This window comes from Homo sapiens, chromosome 4 (genome assembly GCF_000001405.40).
Source record: "Homo sapiens chromosome 4, GRCh38.p14 Primary Assembly".
NCBI classification, from domain to species: Eukaryota; Metazoa; Chordata; class Mammalia; order Primates; family Hominidae; genus Homo; species Homo sapiens.
The window spans coordinates 73,586,969-73,607,260 of NC_000004.12; the positions used below are offsets into that span (position 1 = coordinate 73,586,969).

The 20,292-nt window shown below is 37.5% G+C and overlaps 1 protein-coding gene across 14 annotated transcripts in view, besides 1 other annotated feature; it reads right to left on the minus strand.

The window, feature by feature from the left end:
• Positions 1 to 20,292, minus strand: part of RASSF6 (Ras association domain family member 6) — a 49,082-nt gene that overhangs the window by 15,419 nt on the left and 13,371 nt on the right. For 10 of the 14 annotated variants that reach the window (XM_011531689.4, NM_201431.2, XM_047449709.1 and 7 more), the window contains 3 exon segments: positions 11,672 to 11,750; positions 6,483 to 6,625; positions 872 to 966 (listed from right to left, as the gene is read on the minus strand). In XM_011531689.4, the coding sequence (XP_011529991.1) occupies positions 872 to 966; positions 6,483 to 6,625; positions 11,672 to 11,750 (317 nt within the window). 14 annotated transcript variants of the gene reach the window in all.
• Positions 19,664 to 19,713: an enhancer, noted in NCBI's record as "active region_21613". NCBI's record gives its function as "activates an Ori minimal core promoter by ATAC-STARR-seq in GM12878 lymphoblastoid cells {active_cell/tissue: GM12878}" and the evidence as "EXISTENCE:reporter gene assay evidence [ECO:0000049][PMID:35858748]".

Here is a 20,292-nt window from a genome sequence, read left to right on the forward strand (position 1 = left end):
CTAGTGGGATACCTTTGTTCACACTGAACTGACTTCGTAAATCACAGCCCCATTTCAGGCACATGAACCCTGTCCACCACCCCTCATTCTAGCTTCAGTCATCAGCATCCACTACTCTTTGAATCTTATGTGTTTATGAGAATTACATGAAAAAATTCATATAAAGTACAAAATATTATGCCTGATACTTACCAGAGTCTCATCAGATTACAGCTATCAATATCACTATTATTACTCTCACATCATCACCATTATGATTATAACTACTAATGTCACACATCCCTGGAGCTGGCATTTCCCATTGGTTTGCCAAGTTCAGTATGGATCCATTTGATCCTTAAGTATATTTCTCTTTTAAAAAGATCTCTGAAATAACTCTATCAAATATAAAATTGACTCCAGCATATCTGTGTCTTTCTGAGAAGTAATGTTATTGACATATCTATTAACTAACTAAAACGTTCAACTTCTAAAAAGATACAGAATTAGGTCTGATGGGCTTGGCCTAACATATAAAGCTATTGGGAATAATAAATGACTCTAATCTTTGGGGAAGATATTTAACAATTTTATGAATACAAACTTTATTAAAACTATTAGCTCTCCCTATTCTAATAAATCTAAGTGACATAATATAATTTTTTTAAGAATTATATTTTTATATACCAAAGTAAGGTTCTTAAACATCATACAAGCACTATAGTGACTTAAGTTACTATGCTCCTAAGATATTTAAAAATATATATACATATAAAACAAGAGTTTATTGTGTAGTAGTATGAAAAAGGTTAGATTTCAGAGAAACATATGGAGTCATACTTTACACTAATTAAAAATTAAGTCTCCCAATCAATAAGATTTTGATACTGACCTTCCTGGGAATTCCTTTTTTCAGACATAGGAATCTGGGTCCTGTCCAGCTCACTAATACGATAGAGATCGTCAAATTCCCCCCAGCGTGTCATTCTGAGAAGTAATAAATCTTGTAAGTACATCAGTTCCATTTATATTGAAGCCTATGATGGTTTCCAGATTTACAATATTAATATAGTAATACTGTGGGCCTCTGTAGGTGGATATATTGTCCAAAGTTATAACAATTTTATGATATTATTAAAATTATATTCATACCAAAGTGGTCAATATATGTTTTAAATGCTTCCTGTACTTTTATAGAGCATATCTTTTTGACGTAATAATTCAGTTACATACTGAAACACAAGTTATATAGATTCTGTAAAACATATGTCCAAATTGAATTAGTAGAAACCAAGATGATCAATTGTTATAAAGATATTTCACAATACTCTTAGGGGAGCTTGGGTATAAAAGTGTTCTTTATACATTCTGTCAATATGTATTGTACCTTTTGCATTCAAAACATTGTTAGGTAGAGTGGCTCTAAAATAATAAAATATAGTGCCTATCGTTTAAGGCCCTTGACTACCATGAAGAATGTAGTTTACGAAGGAGGAAAATGTATGAGAATTTTGCCAGAAAATTATGATTTCATAAAGAAACTAGCAATTTTAAGTGCATTCTAGTGCTCAGAATACATGAAACCTGACAAATGTTTATTTTTACGGCAGGTCAAAACTCAATTTTATTTTATTTATCTGGTCTTAAACAAGTTTCTTATCCCCTCTGTGCCTGTGTCCTCATCTGTAAAATAAAAATGATAATAGCATGAGGTAGGATAGGGTTGTTTTGAGGATTAAAAGAGTTAATTTGTATAAAATTCTTGAATCAGTGCCCTGAAAATAGTAAGCATTCAATATAGATTAACAATAATTATAATTATCCTCATCTCCATTGTCATCATCATCATCATCATCATCATCATCATCATCACCAGCATCTGTATCTATTTCATTCCTGATGGGCCAGGAACCATTAGGGACCCAAGGTGTTCCTGGATCTCTCTAGGCAAATGGTTGCTATTATCTAAGAATCTCTTCAGTAATGTCTGTTTTTCTTATGACTAAAATATATTCACTTATAGGGAATTTATGGCATTGACTCTGCCCGAATTTCATTGGTGGCAACAAAAAATATTTATTAATACTAATGGTAGTGAATATGAAGAAAGTCATCCCTTATCCTCTTTACTTTTGAATTCTTTTGAAGCGTGTTTTATGGCTACTATATCATTTGAGTCTCACAATAGCCTTATGATGTAGAGAAGGTAATCCTAATATATTTGTTAATTTTCCAGCAAGCTGTACTATTCAGAATACAGCCAATCAAAACAAATGTCATAAAGCCCAACTACAGGTAATAACTTTAACTCAAAGGAAAACTACCAGGTCCTGACTCAGAATCTAATTAGTCTTATGGCAGATAAAATTACCCATTTCCCCAAATCTATAGCAGCTTAATAATCAGAAAGTGGCAGACATAATTATCGTAGAAGGGGGGTTAGGAATGGAAAAGTCAATACCAATGAAAAACAGAAACTAAAAATGCAAAGTAACCTGATGCTATGTCATAGGGCTAAAGATAAGAATCCCCAGGATGCCAGTCAAATTCTCGGTGACCCTCGCAGACGTGACAGCTTAGTTTTGTCACACAAATATAGGAGGCCAAAAGTCATCCAATATATTCTGTGTTTGGCCCCTTATTTTTTTCTACCATCTACAGCAGAAAACACCAGTTTTCAGCTCTGGATTGTGTAATTTGAAGCATCACCCCATACAACTGTGCACATGACTAAGCTTCAGGGCAGTTATCCAGAGTTTTCAAGAGAAAACTGGTTGGAACTTTATGTAATATCAAATAGTTTAACTTGCCCAAACATGGGACTTCTGTTGCTCTGACTAAAGTTCAGGATGTATATCATTTGCAAATTTAAATGATGGGGAGGTTTTCTAAGGAGTTTAAAAATAAAAAGGAGGTAGAAATTTGATAGACAAATAGAATATGGTCACTTCCCTACCCATACTGTAAGTAAAAAAACACCACTGACGTTATTCAAATGTACACCTGTCCAGTTTGTGCTCTTTATGTTATTCTGTCATGACTTGTCCAAAATATGCAAAAGCTGAGTTTTGAAAGATATTAAAAACAGATGTGAAAAATAGCATAAGCAAACACAACCTTAACAAGGCTGTTCTTCTCTTTTGTTATGAAAGATTTCCAAAACACTTGTGCCAGATATGAGAGATCAAAGTACTGCCCATAGAATTGTTTCCATAAAGAATAACAAGTGGTCAGAGCTCAAAAAAACTGATTTTTTAAAAGCTTCTTCACTCCAATTAAGCTGATACTTCCTCTGTGTGACTCATTTCAAACATAATTAAACTAATGTGACAAGACCAATGATTCCGTCAAAGAGAGAACTGAAAGACACAAGATTATAGCCCTTCCTGCAGCTGAAGTTCTATTGTCATTTACCCCACGTTTACCCACTGCAGATATAAAATCTGTCATCCTGCAAGAGCAGAGGTGTAAGTTTTGCCTAGAGGTGCCCACTATGGGAAAAAGAAAATAGTTTAAAAGTAAGAAAACAGTAAATTTCTTTTCACAATTAAAGGCTGAGAATTAAAATAGATGTTATCTTAAATGAGACAACCAGAGGGAGGGTGTCTAGAACTGGATTGAAACAACAAAAGTGATACCTTAGGTGGCTATGCACCCCATTAGCGAACCAGAAACCAGGGAAAAGCCACTTCAAATTGTGCTGTGCCTTCCTGCCTGAGTGTTCAGCTGGCTCCCAGGAAGTACTCTTGGCTAATTAATGACAACCAAATCTAATCTTGCTCTTGTTTGCGTGTGGTTCTGTGTGTATGTAAAAGGAATGGGATCTTTTTCTGCCAAATGTTCTACAGTTAATCTTGTTACTGGAAAAGGACAAGCCAGTCAAGGTTTCTAGGTAATTTTTCTCCACTTTAAACAAAAAGAGCCAATTCCTGTTTGCTTCACAGCAATGTACTAATAAACAATGCAAAATGTAAATGGATCCTATAGCAGGTGTATCATGAGGATATTATTTTAGAACCTGTGGCAGTATATGGAGAGGCATATTACCTTGTCCACCTGGGCTCTTGAAACTCATCCAAAAATTCAGAATTGCTAGGAACAAGTGTTTTAAATTTGAGAAGTTAAAAAATATCATGGTTAATAATAATATATTGCATACTTCAAAAGAGTTAAATAAGAGAATTTTTTATATTCTCTATTCTCACCACAAAAAATGATAAATATTTGAGATGATTGATATGTTAATTAGCCTGTTTGGTTCATTCTGCAATGTACATATGCATAAAAACATGTATCCCACAAATTTATAGAATTATTATTTGTCAATTAAAAATAAAATAAAACTTAAAACATATCTTGGTAAAGCCATACAAAATAATGATGGTTTAAGGTGATACTAAAATTACCTTACTTCATTTCTGTGGCATTTTCCTTTAATGTTTGATATTTATTACATTTTCATGAATTAAAAAATTAAAATGCATCAAATAGATGTGACTGCTCAGAGAATTTTGCAATGAGGTCTTAGGTAATATGAAGTATGGTAGTTAATTTTATAAATCCGTATCTTGTACAGTTTTCGGAAAGCAGAGCCCAAGAGTAATTTTTCCTTTTAAATGATGCTCCTTGTCATTTAGAATCATAAGCCCCATCAGTCATCAGGTACCTGAAGTGAGAAATGTGGGGCTCTCTCAGGCTGCTGGAGGCTGCTGCCTCCCTTCCGTTCTTCCTTAGGCCCTGAGCCCTAAGCTCCTTGGCAATCCTTAGCTTGGATGGGAGACGAGATAGATAGAGGGACTAAGTAGTGACAACAAAGCAGAGGTAATTTAACCACAGGCTTCTGGGGATTTTGCTCTATACTATGGTTTGAATCTCCTCTTTGTGCCAGGCACACAGTTGGGCACTGGGATGAATAAAGCAAATAAAACAAAGATGAATAAAGCACATTCCCTACCACCGAGAAGCTTGCACTATAGACAAGGAGATAAGTATACAAAAATACAATTGACTGCATGTGTGTCAAGTGATATAGAAAAGTTTTCAGTGAGCCTCGTATAGACTGAGGGGTCAGAAATGGCTTTCTGGAGAACATGTTACCTCACCTGCGTCTTAAAGGACTGGTGGAAGAGACTCAGGCAAATGGATGTGGAGAAGCAGGGAGACTTCTAGGCAGAGTCAGGAAAATTAGAAATTGCATGAAATGTGTAGGGAATTACAAAACATTCAGCATGGCAGTAGCATAATTTTTGAGAAATATTGGCAAGGTGAAAATCATAGTCGGGCTTAAATATTTTTTCCAAAGGAAAAGCAGACTTCTGTCAAGGTGATAATTAATTTTCCCTAGTTGTGGCCAAATATTACATTGGGCAAATTGTCCTGGCAGCTCTTTCTCCATTGCCTCCTCTGATAGAATGCCAGCTCATCTAACAATGGATGCGAGGATGAATGGTGGGAAAAGAAGGCTTGGTATCTCAATGTATATACACAGTGGGTTGAGCTGGAGAGGTAAGGACTAAAAAGGAAGAAGGGATGGAAAAAAAGGATGAAAGGAACTTTTATACAGGTATGTTTCTTGCTGAGAATATTTATTAATTTTTCTGAAACTTGTAAAGGGGTAAGGAAAAAATCAGCCCAACCTGGATATCCAAGGGACACTTGCATAAGCCCACACAAGGGACTGTTTTGTGCATTTATTTAACTTCAAGTGCATTTCAGGGTGCTCTGTTGAACAGGATTGGGACAATCAGATGGAACATCATTAAGTTTCCTTGGTAGAAAGCACAATGAGCCCTTTGTTCCAAGGAAAGAAGACATTTAGATTTTATCCTCTTATTTTGGAGACCAGGCCAGGGTAAATCAAATTCTGACTTTACATTTTGCCTTTTCCAATGAAGGAATGCAGTCTCCAGGAGAGAAGTAGCAGAGCAGAGGAGTCAAGACCACAGGCTGTGGACCCCAGACAGAAGTAAGGCCCAGTCCAGTTCTGCCACATCGTAATTGGGGATCTTGCACAAATTAGTTAATCTTGAAGAGCCCTAGTTTCTGAACACCAACTTCATTGAGTTGCTGGGATTTTTTTTTTTTTTTTTTCAAAGTCTCACTCTGTTGCTCAGGCTGGAGTGCAATGGCGCAATCTCGGCTCACTGCAAACTCCGCCTCCCGGATTAAAGCGATTCTCCTGCCTCAGCCTCCCGAGTAGCTGGGATTACAGGCGGCTGCCACCACGCCCAGCTAATTTTTGTATTTTTAGTAGAGACAGGGTTTCATCATGTTGGCCAGGCTGGTCTCGAACTCCTGACCTCAGGTGATCCACCTGCCTTGGCCTCCCGAAGTGCCGGGATTACAGGTGTGAGCCACCGTGCCCGGCCATTGCTGGGAAATTAAATGAGATTGTGTGTAATCAGTTTTACACAAGCTTAAGTTTCCCTCCTTAAGAGTGCACGCAATAAAACTAGATATGAAGATCATCTTCTGAGGAATTAAAAACATGAAAGATAGCTTACCCTTTGCTGGAGAAGACGTCTGATGACTTCATACTAGTAAAAGAAGAGAATGGCTTCTCATCTTGTATTTTTAGCTGTATAGGTCGTTTTACTCCCCAGAAAATGTCCAGCATTCCTTCAACAATTAGTTTGCCATCTTCAGTCTAAGGAAGAAATGAATAATCCCCCAATTGTTTTTGTATTATTTATAGACGGTAAATGTTTTAACGAAGATGTAGAAATTAAGTGCGTAAGAAACCTAAATAGATTAAAAAGAAACGCCAGGGTTGTTGTTTGGCTTTCCAATTTATCTACAAAGCAATTCTATTTTTGAAACATTCTTTTATTTTTGAAAACAGCTATACCCAGCAAAGTGAGTAAATCATAATGGTAATGGCATGTCCACCAGAGGGCACAGTATGTCAAAATGCTTTCTGAACTCTGATTCTTCCATTAAGTGGAATTTTAATTCTCTAATTTTGTTTAATTTAAAATTAAAGCAGATTTAAAAATTATGCTGAACTAGAAATTAGAAAAAAACATCTATTTAAAGATTTAGCAGCTATTTCCTCATTGCTGAACAGAAAAAAATTTAACTCACAAAGTTATGCAAAACAAGTAAAATAACACGTGTGAAAACACGCTGTAAAAATTCAAAACATAGATATATTTTTTGTAAAAACAATAGCATTTGAAGAATTTCTTTAAAATTAGAAATACTGTAGTATAGCAGAAGAAGGAGACAAATTTAACATAAATTTTGTGGAAAGTTTTGAATTAAAGCATAAATAATCATTATATATATGAAAGTGCTTTTCCAATGTTAAAGTAATGTTTTCTGTTATAGAAACTTTGGAAAATGTAGAAACTAACAAAAGTCATATGCCAGCCACCCAATACCTATTTTAACATTCATTAACTATTATTAATATTATGAAGAATCAATTGTTAGACAACATTTAAACACTCAATTCTTATTTGAGAGCATAATGAAAACTCCAGACTCTGGAATCAGACAGACCTGTGCTCAAACCCTGGCTCTGCCACTTCCTAGTTGTGGCCTTGGACAAGTCACTGGCTACCTTTAAACTTGGGCTTTCTCATGTGAAAAACAGACATTATGATAACCCCTAATTCACAGCGCCTGGCATTCAATAGGTGCTCTATATTACTGTTTATTATTTCTTTGGCTGATAAACTTGCTTTGGAATCACTCCTGAAACAAAGTTTTGCACTTCTTCCACTTTTGACTTTACATTTCAGATTACTAAGAGGTCAGGTTACCAATCAGTTGTTTTCAACAATCAAACACAATTTATTCCTTGAAATGACTGTATATGATATAGATTATATAGTTAATGGTGGACAGCATTCTTTCTCTGCCTAACTAGAACTCAATTAAGCCTTTGTATCAAAAACTTATAGAATCTCTGAAAAGAAAAACAAAACCCACTACTCTGCTGAGGTTGTTAAATTCTTCATTGCTATATCTCCAGCTTTTAAAATGGTGTCTGGTACATGGTAGACATTCAATAAATATTTGTTTAATTAATTGATTAATTAACCAAAGATGAATAAAGCCACATATTGTCATCCAAGGACTGCCCCTTTTAAACAGTGTCAGAAGATTTGAAAAATTCTGAATTATGACTTTATTGATCAGTGTGTAAAGATTGAAAAGTCTGGTAGCCTCACCGTACACTTCACCTCATACAGTTTTTAAAAATTATATAAAACATGAAACTATTTTAAAAAATTAAATAACTTTTTTTTGTTTGTGTGTGTGACAGAGTCTCGCTCTGTCACCCAGGCTGGAGTACAGTGGTGTGATCTCAGCTTACTGCAATCCCCACCTCCTGGTTCAGGTGATTCTCCTGTCTCAGCCTTCCGAGTAGCTGGGATAACAGGCATGCACCACCATGCCTGGGTAATTTTTGTATTTCTTTTTTAGTGGAGACAGGGTATTGCTATGTTGGCCAGGCTGGTCTCGAACTCCTGATCTCAGGTGATCCACCTGCCTCGGCCTCCCAAAGTGCTGGGATTATAGGCATGAGCCACAGCACCTGACCTGAATAACTTTTGTATTATAAATGGAGCACTGATGTACAGAATTGGAAAGAATATGCCTCAACTTAAATGTTCATAACACAAAAACTCAAATATTTACCTAAAGGAAACAAACTTAACATCATGAATTTTGTGGAAACTTTTGAATTAAAGTATAAATAATCATTTTCCTAGTTTTACTCTTTTCCTAAATTTTATATTTTTATAATTGTATATATTAAGATTTAAGATACAGGACAATGTTGAAATAATTTAAAATTAGGCCCACTTCTTTATAAAGAGATTAGTTATTTAATTCAGTATATTATTGAATTTGGGAAAGTAACTGAAATACCCAATTGAACTAAATCATTTAAGCTCAATAGGAAAGGCCAGAGTGCTTTGTAAATTTCCTTCTGTCCAAACTGTAGATTTAAGCCAAATCATGGTCGCCTAAAGTCCATGCTGTGCCATGAAATTAAATCAGGAGTAGAAAATTCTAATGTCCCCTTTGGCCAGGAAGATATTGTAAATATGTAAAGTGAGCTCCATCAGAATACAAGGCTGAGTGAAGAGACGTGTGGAGAATGAAACACTGAAATTAAATAAAAAGAAAAAAAGTAAACATAAGGCCACTTTGTACAGTAGCCTGCCAGTGGCACTCCTAAAAATGCTTTTGAAGAAATAAAGGACGTTCAAATAGCAAGAGAGGAAGTCAAACTATCCCTGTTTGCAGATGACATAATCTTATATTGAGAAAACCCCATCGTTCCAGCCCAAAAGCTTCTTAAGCTGATAAGCAACTTCAGCAAAGTCTCAGGATACAAAATCGATGTGCAAAAGTTGCTAGCATTCTTATACACCAACAACAATCAAGCCAAGAGCCAAATCCCAAACAAACTCCCACAAAAAGAATAAAATACCTAGGAGTACAGCTAACAAGGGAAGTGAAAGATATTTACAAAGATAACTATAAGTCACTGCTCAAAGAAATCAGAGATGACACAAACAAATGGAAAATCATTCCATGATCATGGATAGGAAGAATTAATATTGTTAAGATGGCAATACTGCCCAAAGCAATTTGTAGATTCAATGCTATTCCCATTAAACTACTGTTGACATTCTTCACAGAAATAGAAAAAACTATTTTAAAATTCATATGAATCCAAAACAGCCTGAATAGCCAAGGCAATCCTAAGCAAAAGAACAAAGCTGGAGGCATCACACTACCTGTCTTCAAACTATACTACTGGGCTACAGTAACCAAAACAGCATGATACTGGTACGAGAACAGACACACAGACTGATGGAACAGAGTAGAGAACCCAGAAATGAGACTGCATATCTACAAGTATCTGATCTTCAACAAATATGACAAAAACAAGCAGAGGGGAAAGGATTCCCTAGTCAATAAATGGTGCTCGGATAACTGGCTGGCCATATGCAGAAAACTGAAACTGGATCCCTTCTTTACACCATATACAAAAATTATCTCAGGATGGACTAATGATCGAAATGTAAAATGTAAAACTACAAAAACACTGGAAGATAACTAGGTAATACCATCCAGGACACAGGCATGGGCAAAGATTTCATGATGAAGATGCCAAAAGCAATTGCAACAAAACCAAAAATTGGCAAATGGGATCTAATTAAACTAAAGAGCTTCTGTACAGCAAAAGAAACTATCAATAGAGTAAACAGACAATCTACAGAATGGGAGAATATTTTTGCAAACTATGCATCTGACAAAGATCTAACATTCAGCATCTACAAGGAACTTAGACAAATTTACAAGGGAAAAAACCAAACAACCCCATTAAAAAGTGGGCAAAGGACATGAGCAAACACTTCTTAAAATAAGACATACATGTGGCCAGCAATCATATGAAAAAGCTCTACATAACAGATCATTAGAAAAATGCAAATCAAAACCACAATGAGATACCATCTCACACCAGTCAGAATGTCTATTATTAAAAAGTCAAAAAATAACAGATGCTGGTGAGGTTGTGGAGAAAAAGGAACCCTTATACACTGCTGGGGAGTGTAAATTAATCTAATCATTGAGGAAGACAGTGTGTTGATTCCTCAAAGACCTAAAGACAGAAACACCATTTGACCCAGCAATCCCATTACTGGGTATATACCCAATGGAGAATAAATCATTTTATTATAAAGACATATTCACACATATGTTCATTGCAGCACTATTTATAACAGCAAGCACATGGAATCAACCTAAATGCCCATTAATGATAGATGGGATAAAGAAAATGTGGTACATGTACACCATGGAATACTATGCAGCCATAAAAAAGAACAAGGCCATGTCCTTTGCAGGGATGGAGCTAGAGGCCATCATTCTTAGCAAACTGATGCAGGTATAGAAAACCTAATACTGTTTGCTTTCACTTATAAGTGGGAGCTAAAGGATAAGCACACATGGACACATAGAGGGGAACCACAGACACTGAGGCCTATCAGAGGGTGGAATTTGGGAGGAGGGATAGGACCAGGAAAAATAACTAATGAGTACTAGGCTCAATAGCTGGGTGAAGAAATAATCTGTACAACAAACCACCATGACACATGTTTACCTATGTAACAAACTTGCACTTGTACCCCTGAACTTAAAAGTTAGAAAAATGCTTTCTAGCTTCAGGACTTTCCTGAATTCTTTCTTTAATATTTCAAAATTTTTATTATTTTGATATAGTGCACATCTATTGGAATCTAATGCATTCATTTTAAAACCCAAATCAAATTTGACATTACAGATGCATCATAATTTATTTGAATAATCCCTAATTGATAGAGATGTCTTCAATTTTCTGCATTACAAATGACATCACAATGAATATCTTTCTATATACATTCTGACGCATTTGTAAGAAAGTATTGTGATAGATTTTCAGTGTAAATGCTGTTAAAATATTCATATTCTATTTTTAAAATAGAAAGAAAATATGTCATTAAAATTTTTAAATGCTTTTCTATCTCAAAAATGCTTAGAAAGTCACAAGTGTTCCAAGCCCAAGTCTAAAAGAATCATAATCAAGTTAAACTTTCACCTGTTTCTTCCAGAATTGTGTGTGTGTGTGTGTGCACGCATGTGTGTGTGTGAATAACACCGGATTGCCTTTCTTCAGTGGGCTTACCTCTCCATATAAAATATGCAGATTTTTCTGGTTCTCATAAAAAATGTTATAGGTCTTCAATAAAGAATTAAGTTGTTCCCTAAAAATAAAAAAAAATTAATTACAATCAGTCTTAGAGTTTTTAACGTAAAAGGTGATAATGGTACTTTCATAAAGGTATGAGATAGAAAGAAATAGTTTAATGGAATCTTTACTGTTCTGTCACTTTAACTTAACATAAGTCATTGGAAGTGGAAGCATTCTTAAAATATCAGCAAATGTTGAAGTTGCTAATTCATAAATAAATAACCAAAGGTGGGAAATGACTGAGGACAAAAATGGTGAGAACAGTGTTCTGTAGCAGGAGGCAGCCACGAAACAGGAATTTGGTTTCATATTCCTTTTTGTATTTCAACATTTTTAACCAACCTAAATTAAGCACTGGTGTGTGGCTGATACCATCTCTCTATACACTACTCCCTCCTGTGTCCCCAGGGCATGGGATGGGACACCAGTGCCCCAACTCTCCAAATCTGTGTTCCCTTGTGTAAGTCACTTAGTATCCCTGAATTTCCACAGCTGTGAAATGAAGGTGATCTGTCCTACTTGCCGGGGCTGTTTAGACTATTAAAGGCAACCACAGAAGTCAAAGATCCCAGCTGGCTGGGTGAAGCAACAGTAAGCAAAGGCTCATTGTTACTGTGGCAGGGGAGCTTCTCTCCTGGCCTGCCCCACACAGCTGACAATGGCCGACTTTGGCCAGGAAAGTTTGTAGGGGAGGAGCCCTCTACCTTTCCGCCCTTCTAGCTGGGTATCAAGATCTGAGACCAGATGTGCTGGTGAGTGACTCAGCGCTTTCTTGCCTGGAAACTCCTCCCTGTGTCTCCCACTGGGAAAACAGCTGTGGTAAGGAATGCTCCTGACTTATCTCACCCTTTGTGGCAGGTGGGCCCTGGCAGTGGGAACACTGGCTCTTACCATACCTCTATTCTATCTTTCTCTCAGTGTCTCTATGTCTTGAGATGCTCCTCTTGAGATGATCATCATTTCTCACTTGGATTATTGCAGCAGCCTCCTAAAAGCCTCCCTGTATCTGTTGTTTACTCTCAACAGCAGAAACTGTTTTAATGCAAACCTGACCATCTCTCCTCTTTGCTCAGAACTCTTCAATGTCTTCTTGTTTTTCAGATTAAAAGCCAACATCCTTACAATGGCTTAAAAGGCTGGATGCAACTGGTCTTCTGTTACCTCTTTCATCTCATTTCCTCCCACCCTTCCCTCACTTCATGCAACCACCAGCCTCCCTGGTGTTCCTTGGCCACTCCAGACAGATTCTCATCTTGGGGCCTTTGCACTTGCTGATCCCTCTGCCCAGAATGATATTCCCCCAAACGTTCACCTTGCCAGCTCATTCATCTTCTTTAATTATTTAATCAAAAGTCATCTTCTCAAGAAGTCCTTCCTGATCACCCAATCTAAAAGTTCACCTTCTCCCAGCATTTCATATCTTGATTTTCTCCTCTGCCCCTGTCCCTGAGTCAACTTCTATATATTTTACTTATTTCCTTATGTTCTGTCTCCTCCATTGAATGTAGCTCCAACAGGGCAGGGGTATGTATGCATTTTGTTCACACTGTATCCTGTGCCTGGAAGAGTACTTGGTACATAGCAGGACAAATTCTGGTTGACTAAAATTATCGGGAAATATTCATTGCCTAAACAACAATAAACAAAGGAAGAAAAGCTTTCTCATATAAGCGGTTTTATAAAAAAAAAAAAGACCCAACAAGTCATGATATTAAAATTCCAAGTATTTCAATTGCTAAAATCCCTTTGATCCTCAATATCTGTCTCTGTCTCATAAGAAAATGAGAGGGCAGGGAGTTTGGTCCACTTTATTCACTCCTGTGTTCCTGGTTCTCAGAGCAGAAACTTGCTCACAGTAGGCTCTTCTTCAATAAATACTGAATATTGAATGACAGAATTTATATATACTGACTGTTACATGTTTGAAATCAGGTAAGCATGTATGTTGCCATTGGCTTTTTCTCACTTGTAATTTTCAAGGTGTACGTTTCCAAGGATCAATACACTTCACACAATTGCCATAAAAAGATCCTCCTGAAGTCCTCCATACTGTTGGTTCATTTCCCAAATGGATTACTTTCCATTTTTAATGTTAATGAACATGTCTCTTCTAAATATCATTGGTCACACTGATTTTGTTCTCCTGGGGTCATTGTCATAGGATATTTCCTAAAAATTATACTACTGGCCAAGAACATGAACATGATTTATAGCACTCATTGTTTAGTGCCAGAACACTATTAAGAAATTTCACCATAAAGAAATTTTACTGTAAAGAAACTTCAGGGACACTTGGGATGCAACTCCTGATATGCTGAGCTGTGAGAGTTGTTATGAAAGCAAATGGAGCCTTACATAATCTTATTCCCTCAGCTTCTGCTTCTGATAAAAGTACATTACATAGTAGAGTATGAGCAGCCTTTAAAGTGTTTACTTCAGGATCATGTGCAGTTGGAAAATGTTTCTGAACCTGAATAGAGCCTGACTAAATCCTCAACTGAAATAAGTCTACAAATGACATAAGGAGTTGGCAGATGGTGGTCCCAGGCTGCCTGTTTTTGTAAACAAAGTTGTATTGGAATATCACCACACTAATTTGTCTGCTCATTGTCTATGTCTGTTTTTCTGTTATAACTGCAGAGATGAGTAGTTGTAACAGAAATCATATGACCTACAGAGCCTGAAATATTTCTAATCTGGCTCTTCGCAGAGAAAGTCTTCCAATCTGTAATCCACTGTGTAATACAGGGTAGCTGGATACCATAGAAGTATTTTTCTCACCATGAGTAGAATCTTTTTGATTATTAATTGGATTTTGAAGGATTTTGGAGTGTTGAAGATTAGAGCTCAGTAAACTAAAGTATTGGAGTAAAATTAGGTAAATTAGTGGTGCAATACAAAGCAAGGAATTAGAAAAGAAAATTTAGAAGTTGCCTGAACAAATTATAGCAATGGTGAATGTTGTCCAAACATTTCTTTTAATCGTGTGTACACCTTACCAGAGAAACTTTTGAAGATGATTAGTTTATGTACCTGATGAAACAATATGTCTAATATAACCTTGAAAATACAATGTATGTCTGTAACATTCTAATTTAACTTGGCATTAGGGGAACAGCAAGGTGAAGAATTACTGTTAAGTTGATCATCTGTGTCTATTCACATTACACCATCCCACAGAAGGTCATTTATTGAACATGATACAGTTGCTGTGTGAGCACAGTCAAGAGGCCTCAGTCATGCTGGGAGGGTGGGTGAGAGCTTTAAGGAATAGATGTTGCCTACGGTGAACCTTGGTTGGTGAGAATTAAACAGGAAAAGAAGAATGTAAAGAGTTTACCTGGCAAAGAAACAACATGAAAAGGGACATGTAGCTATTTCTATAGTTCACAGAAAAAAACTCAAGAGTTGGGATTCCAAGAATGCAACATGTAAAATGGGGAATGCTGAGCAATGAATGAGCCCCGTGAACCATTTTAAGAAACTTGGAATTCACTTCGCAGGCAATGGGCAGCTATTGAAGATTCTAGGCAGGTGAAAGACATGATGATACTAAGGATCACTAGGTAGAATGTGAAAGATAGATTTCAGTACGAGACAAGATAGAGCCAGCAAGATGAGTGAGACCACTGCAACACTAGTGTGGTAGAGGTGCAGAAATGAGGCTGATGTTCCACGGAAAGGTGAACAAATGTGCCATGTCTATAGAAGGTTCTAAAGTCCAGAAGGGACCTATAATAATTACAGGCATTGTATGGTTTAGAAGAACCAAAGGCAATCACTAAAGTGTTATCTGGGCAGTCCCTAATCAATAAGAGGAGCCCTGATTTAATATACACTGTTGCCTGTCAGTGGTAATTTTAACAGATTTTTTTAGGGTCCACCTGTTACATGCGGACCCCCTCAAAAAGAATTTGTGCACCTTTCTCCCTCAAACCTGTAAAAGTTCACCTTCCAACATGATCAGACGGCTTAGCATAAACTGTTTGATGGCCCTTAAAATACTTTAAAATGGGTGATAAGAAATGGATTCTATGTCCAGTTTTCCAGTTTACAAGTCTGTGATGTCCAAGGCACGCCCAAGAAATAGACACAAGTTTCGGCCAGGCGCGGTGGCTCATGCCTGTAATCCCAGTACTTTGGGAGGCCAAGATGGGCAGATCACGAGGTCAGGAGATAGAGACCATCCTGGATAACACGGTGAAACCCCGTCTCTACTAAATATACAAAAAATTAGCAGGGCGCGGTGGCGGGCGCTTGTAGTCCCAGCTACTCAGGAGGCTGAGGCAGGAGAATGGCGTGAACCCGGGAGGCGGAGCTTGCAGTGAGCCCAGATTGCGCCACTGCACTCCAGCCTGGGCGACGGAGCAAGTTTCCGTCTCAAAAGAAGAAAGAAAGAAAGAAAGAAAAAGAAATAGACACAAATTTCTCACACTTTTATATGTGAGACACAAAAAATTGATTTTCTAGGAAAGAGCCTTGGTTTTTGGAACGTGAAACACTGTATCACAATATGTAACAAGGGTGTTTTTAAACATCATCAAACACTATATAAGGATGGTGTTTTCACTAAACTGAAGAAAACCAAACTTCCATATAAACTGGACTTCTATCTAAATGAACTGTAAATTATAAGTTTCTCCAGGATAGAAGTTGGCACCCTGCCACAAGCAGTGTGGAGAGAGAATCCTGGTATAAGCCGATGAATACCCAGGATTCTTCATCATGGCCCTGGAAGAGAGCTAGCCAAGGAGAGACTGACCTTGGTGGGGGGCAGGTCAGGGGGAGGGATGCTGAGGGGATCCCAGGGTCCTGTTCCTTTAAGGCTCCAGCTTGGTTTTAATGAGTAATAGTGGACCCAGAGTTTACTGTAAAATGCTCTGGTGTACTTTGTACTTTGTGGCCTGAATTGCAGCTGCTCAGCCTATGGGAATTACCCGCATTCTGACGTTTGCCATGAATAATGTACTTAGCATGAAATGAGTTCCTCAATCTTATCAGGTATTTGGCTGGCTGGAAGAAACTTTTTATTTAATTTTATAAAACTGTAATATACATGAATGTGGGATAGGATTATGGGTGGAAGTGAATTATGTCTGATATCCATAGATAGAGTGGATGTCAAATATTAGTTGTACTAAGAGATTTTTTTCCTCTTGTTTTAATAATGACTTACAGCATAATTAAGTGGCCATCCTAGTCCTTCCCTAAAAGGCAAAGAACCCTGTCCTAGTCTTTACAAAGTGATTCTTACAGTTTGAACCCACTAAGGACAAAGCATAAATATTGTCATATGCCGTCACCCTACACAAACTTGAAAGACTTCCGTGTGATACAAATGAACCTCAGGGGAAAATACACTCAACGAGGTTGCCAAAGGCATGTTTATCCCCTGGCTGTGCTTCCTGAGTTTGTATTACTTCTGCTTCTTGGAGACTTGCTGAAAAATGTTCATGGTTCCAATTAAGCAGCCACTGAGCTGCTTAGTGACAACAACATTAAGAACAACATTTCATCCCAGCACTTTGGGAGGCCGAGGTGGGCGGATCACGAGGTCAGGAGATGGAGACCATCCTGGCTAACATGGTGAAACCCCATCTCTACTAAAAAATAGAAAAAAATAGCCAGGTGTGGTGGCCGGCGCCTGTAGTCCCAGCTACTCGTGAGTCTAGGCAGAAGAATGGCGTGAACCCGGGAGGTGGAGGTTGCAGTGAGTGGAGATCACACCACTGCACTCCAGCCTGAGCGACAGTGAGACTCTGTCTCAAAAAAACAAAACAAAACAAAACAAAACAAAGCAAAACAACCATTCCACTGTGTGTGTTGCCATGTTTAAGAGCAGGAACCAAGAATATTTGAAACAGACTTCAGCAGGTGAAAAACTGAGGAAGAAAAGGATAGTGCTAATTAGTTCTCTTGCACAGGTTTTCTTTTTCCCACTGATTTTGTTCACGATATTAAATTTTAGCAGTGAAGCTATTTAACAATTTCATATGTCAGGTTCAAAAAGCTGAATTTAGAACTTTATAGTTTTATAAAATAACTACAAAATATTAAAGTTAAACATATTAAACATTACATTAAATATGTAAAGGTAACAAATTATTTGCTGGGAATTAAGGTTGTGATTTTTATTTCCTATGTTATAATTCTATATACCTTATAAATCATTTTCTTTCTTTTTTTTTTTTTTTGTTTTTTGAGATGGAGTTTCGCTCTTATTGCCCAGGCTGGAGTGCAATGGTGTGATCTCATCTCATTGCAACCTCCACCTCCTGGGTTCAAGTGATTCTCTTGCCTCAGCCTCCCGAGTAGCTGGGATTATAGGCAGCTGCCACCAGGCCAGGCTAATTTTCGTATTTTCAGTAGAGATGGGGTTTCACCATGTTGGCCAGGCTGGTCTCAAACTCCTGACCTCAGATGATCCACCTGCCTCAGCCTCCCAAAGTGCTGGGATTACAGGTGTGAGCCACCATGCCCGGCCTATAAATTCTATATAAGAAACGTGTGATACTTTCATGATATTTTTTAGGTTCATAAAAATGTAATATACACTCTTGTATGTTTTTGGAAAGATGGAATCAGGAAATATGAGGACGCAGAAGAGAACTGAATAAAGCCTTGTCATCAAGCTATTTGCCAAGATAAATCATCATTCCATATTAATGATGTCTGTAATAGAAGCAGAATTCTCCAAACCCATTTTATCCTTTATTCCTGTCCATTTGAATCCTGGAATTAAAATTACAAGTTTTGGCTCCTCTTTCATAAACAGCCATGGCTCCAGGTCTTTTCGCTTTTGGCCTCATCTGGTTCAAATGATGAAGAAAGAATGCTTTTCAATCTTTGCATAGAGACCCTCCTCAGCTAGGAAAGTAGGTTATTCGCATTTCCTTTGCAAATGAAGGGACTGAGTTCCAAAGTCTGGAAACTGAGAAATTTGTGGAGAAGTAGTCTATCTCGATTGAAGCAAAAATGCAAACCCTGAATGATCAGAAAGCTCTGAATTCTGTCTCACTCTTCCAACTTCAAATACCTGAGGATTTTTCCCTTTTTTCTGCAGCCTCGCCAACATATGTTATTTTTTGACTTTTTTATAAAAGCCATTCTGTCTGGTGTGAGATGGTGTCTCACTGTGGTTTTGACTTGCATTTCTCTGATTAGTGATGATGAGCATTTTTTCATGTTTGTTGGCTGCTTGTATGTCTTCTTTTGAGAAGTGTCTGCCCATGTCTTTTGGTCACTTATACACTGTTGGTGGGAATGTAAATTAGTCTAGTCACTGTGGAAAGCAGTTTGGAGATTTTTCAAAAATCTAAAAGTTGAACTACCTTTCAACCCAACAATCCCTTTACTGGATATAGACCCAAAGGAAAATAAAACATTCTACCAAAAAGACATACACACCCCTGTGTTTATCACAACACTATTCACAATAGCAAAGACATGGAATCCACCCAGGTGCCCATCTGTGCTGGATTGGATAAAAACAATGTGGTACATAGACACCATGGAATACTCTGTAGCCATAAAAAAGAGCAAAATCATGTCCTTTGCAGCAATATGGATGCAGCCGGAGGCTATTATCCTAAGTGAACTAATAGAGAAACAGAAAATCAAATATTGTATATTCTCACTTATAAGTGAGAGTTTAACACCGGGTACACATGGACACAAAGATGGGAACAATGAGCACTGGGGACCACTAGATGCAAGAGAGAGGGAAAGCGGCAAGGGCTGAAGAGCTATCTATTGGATACTATGCCGACTACTGGGATGATGGGTTCATCCGTACTCCAAACCTCAGCATCATGCAAAATAGAGACAAGGGAATGGAGCAATTAGGCTGGTACTTAGCTCATATTTGGGTCTTGCTTCTCATTTGTCTGTGGTTTAGCCTTTCATTTCCTGTTTTTCTGAGACAAGCCTTATAGTTTTTTTTTTTTTTTTAAAGCCAGTTGAAAAGTAAACACAGGTGTGCCACACAACAGTAAGCATTATGGGAGCAGATGGAAACTTGCTGTAAAATTACACCCTTTGTGTATGAACAGATAGGGACTTCTGTGCTTATTGAGAATGAGTAACTTGACTTCACACTCTGATGCCCCTTGCTCCCTTGGGAGGGAGAAACTATCCTATTTAATGAAGTCTTTCATTTATTGTAGCGATATGCCTTTCAGCCCCCTGGACATTTGGGATTGTTACTAGAGGGTCTGAAACACAACAAGGAGCCAGTGATTCCCAGGGCCATCAACCTGAGCACGAGCCTGAAAACGGGAGACTTCCTGACACACAGGCTCTTACACTCACTGGCTCTGACTTTGTTCTTCAGTAATGCTGCCATGACTTTCACCACTGGTTATCTTTACATTCAACAAAAAAATAATAAGCAAACTCCTTGCTGCTATTCAGAGGATCCTCCAGACATTCTCCACACTAAATCCAGAGTATGTAGAATGTATCTAATCATATCATCTGCTTTGTTAACATCTTTAAATGTCTTAAATGTCTTTCCATTGCTCTTGGGATAAAACCCCCACACCGTTATGGCAGGT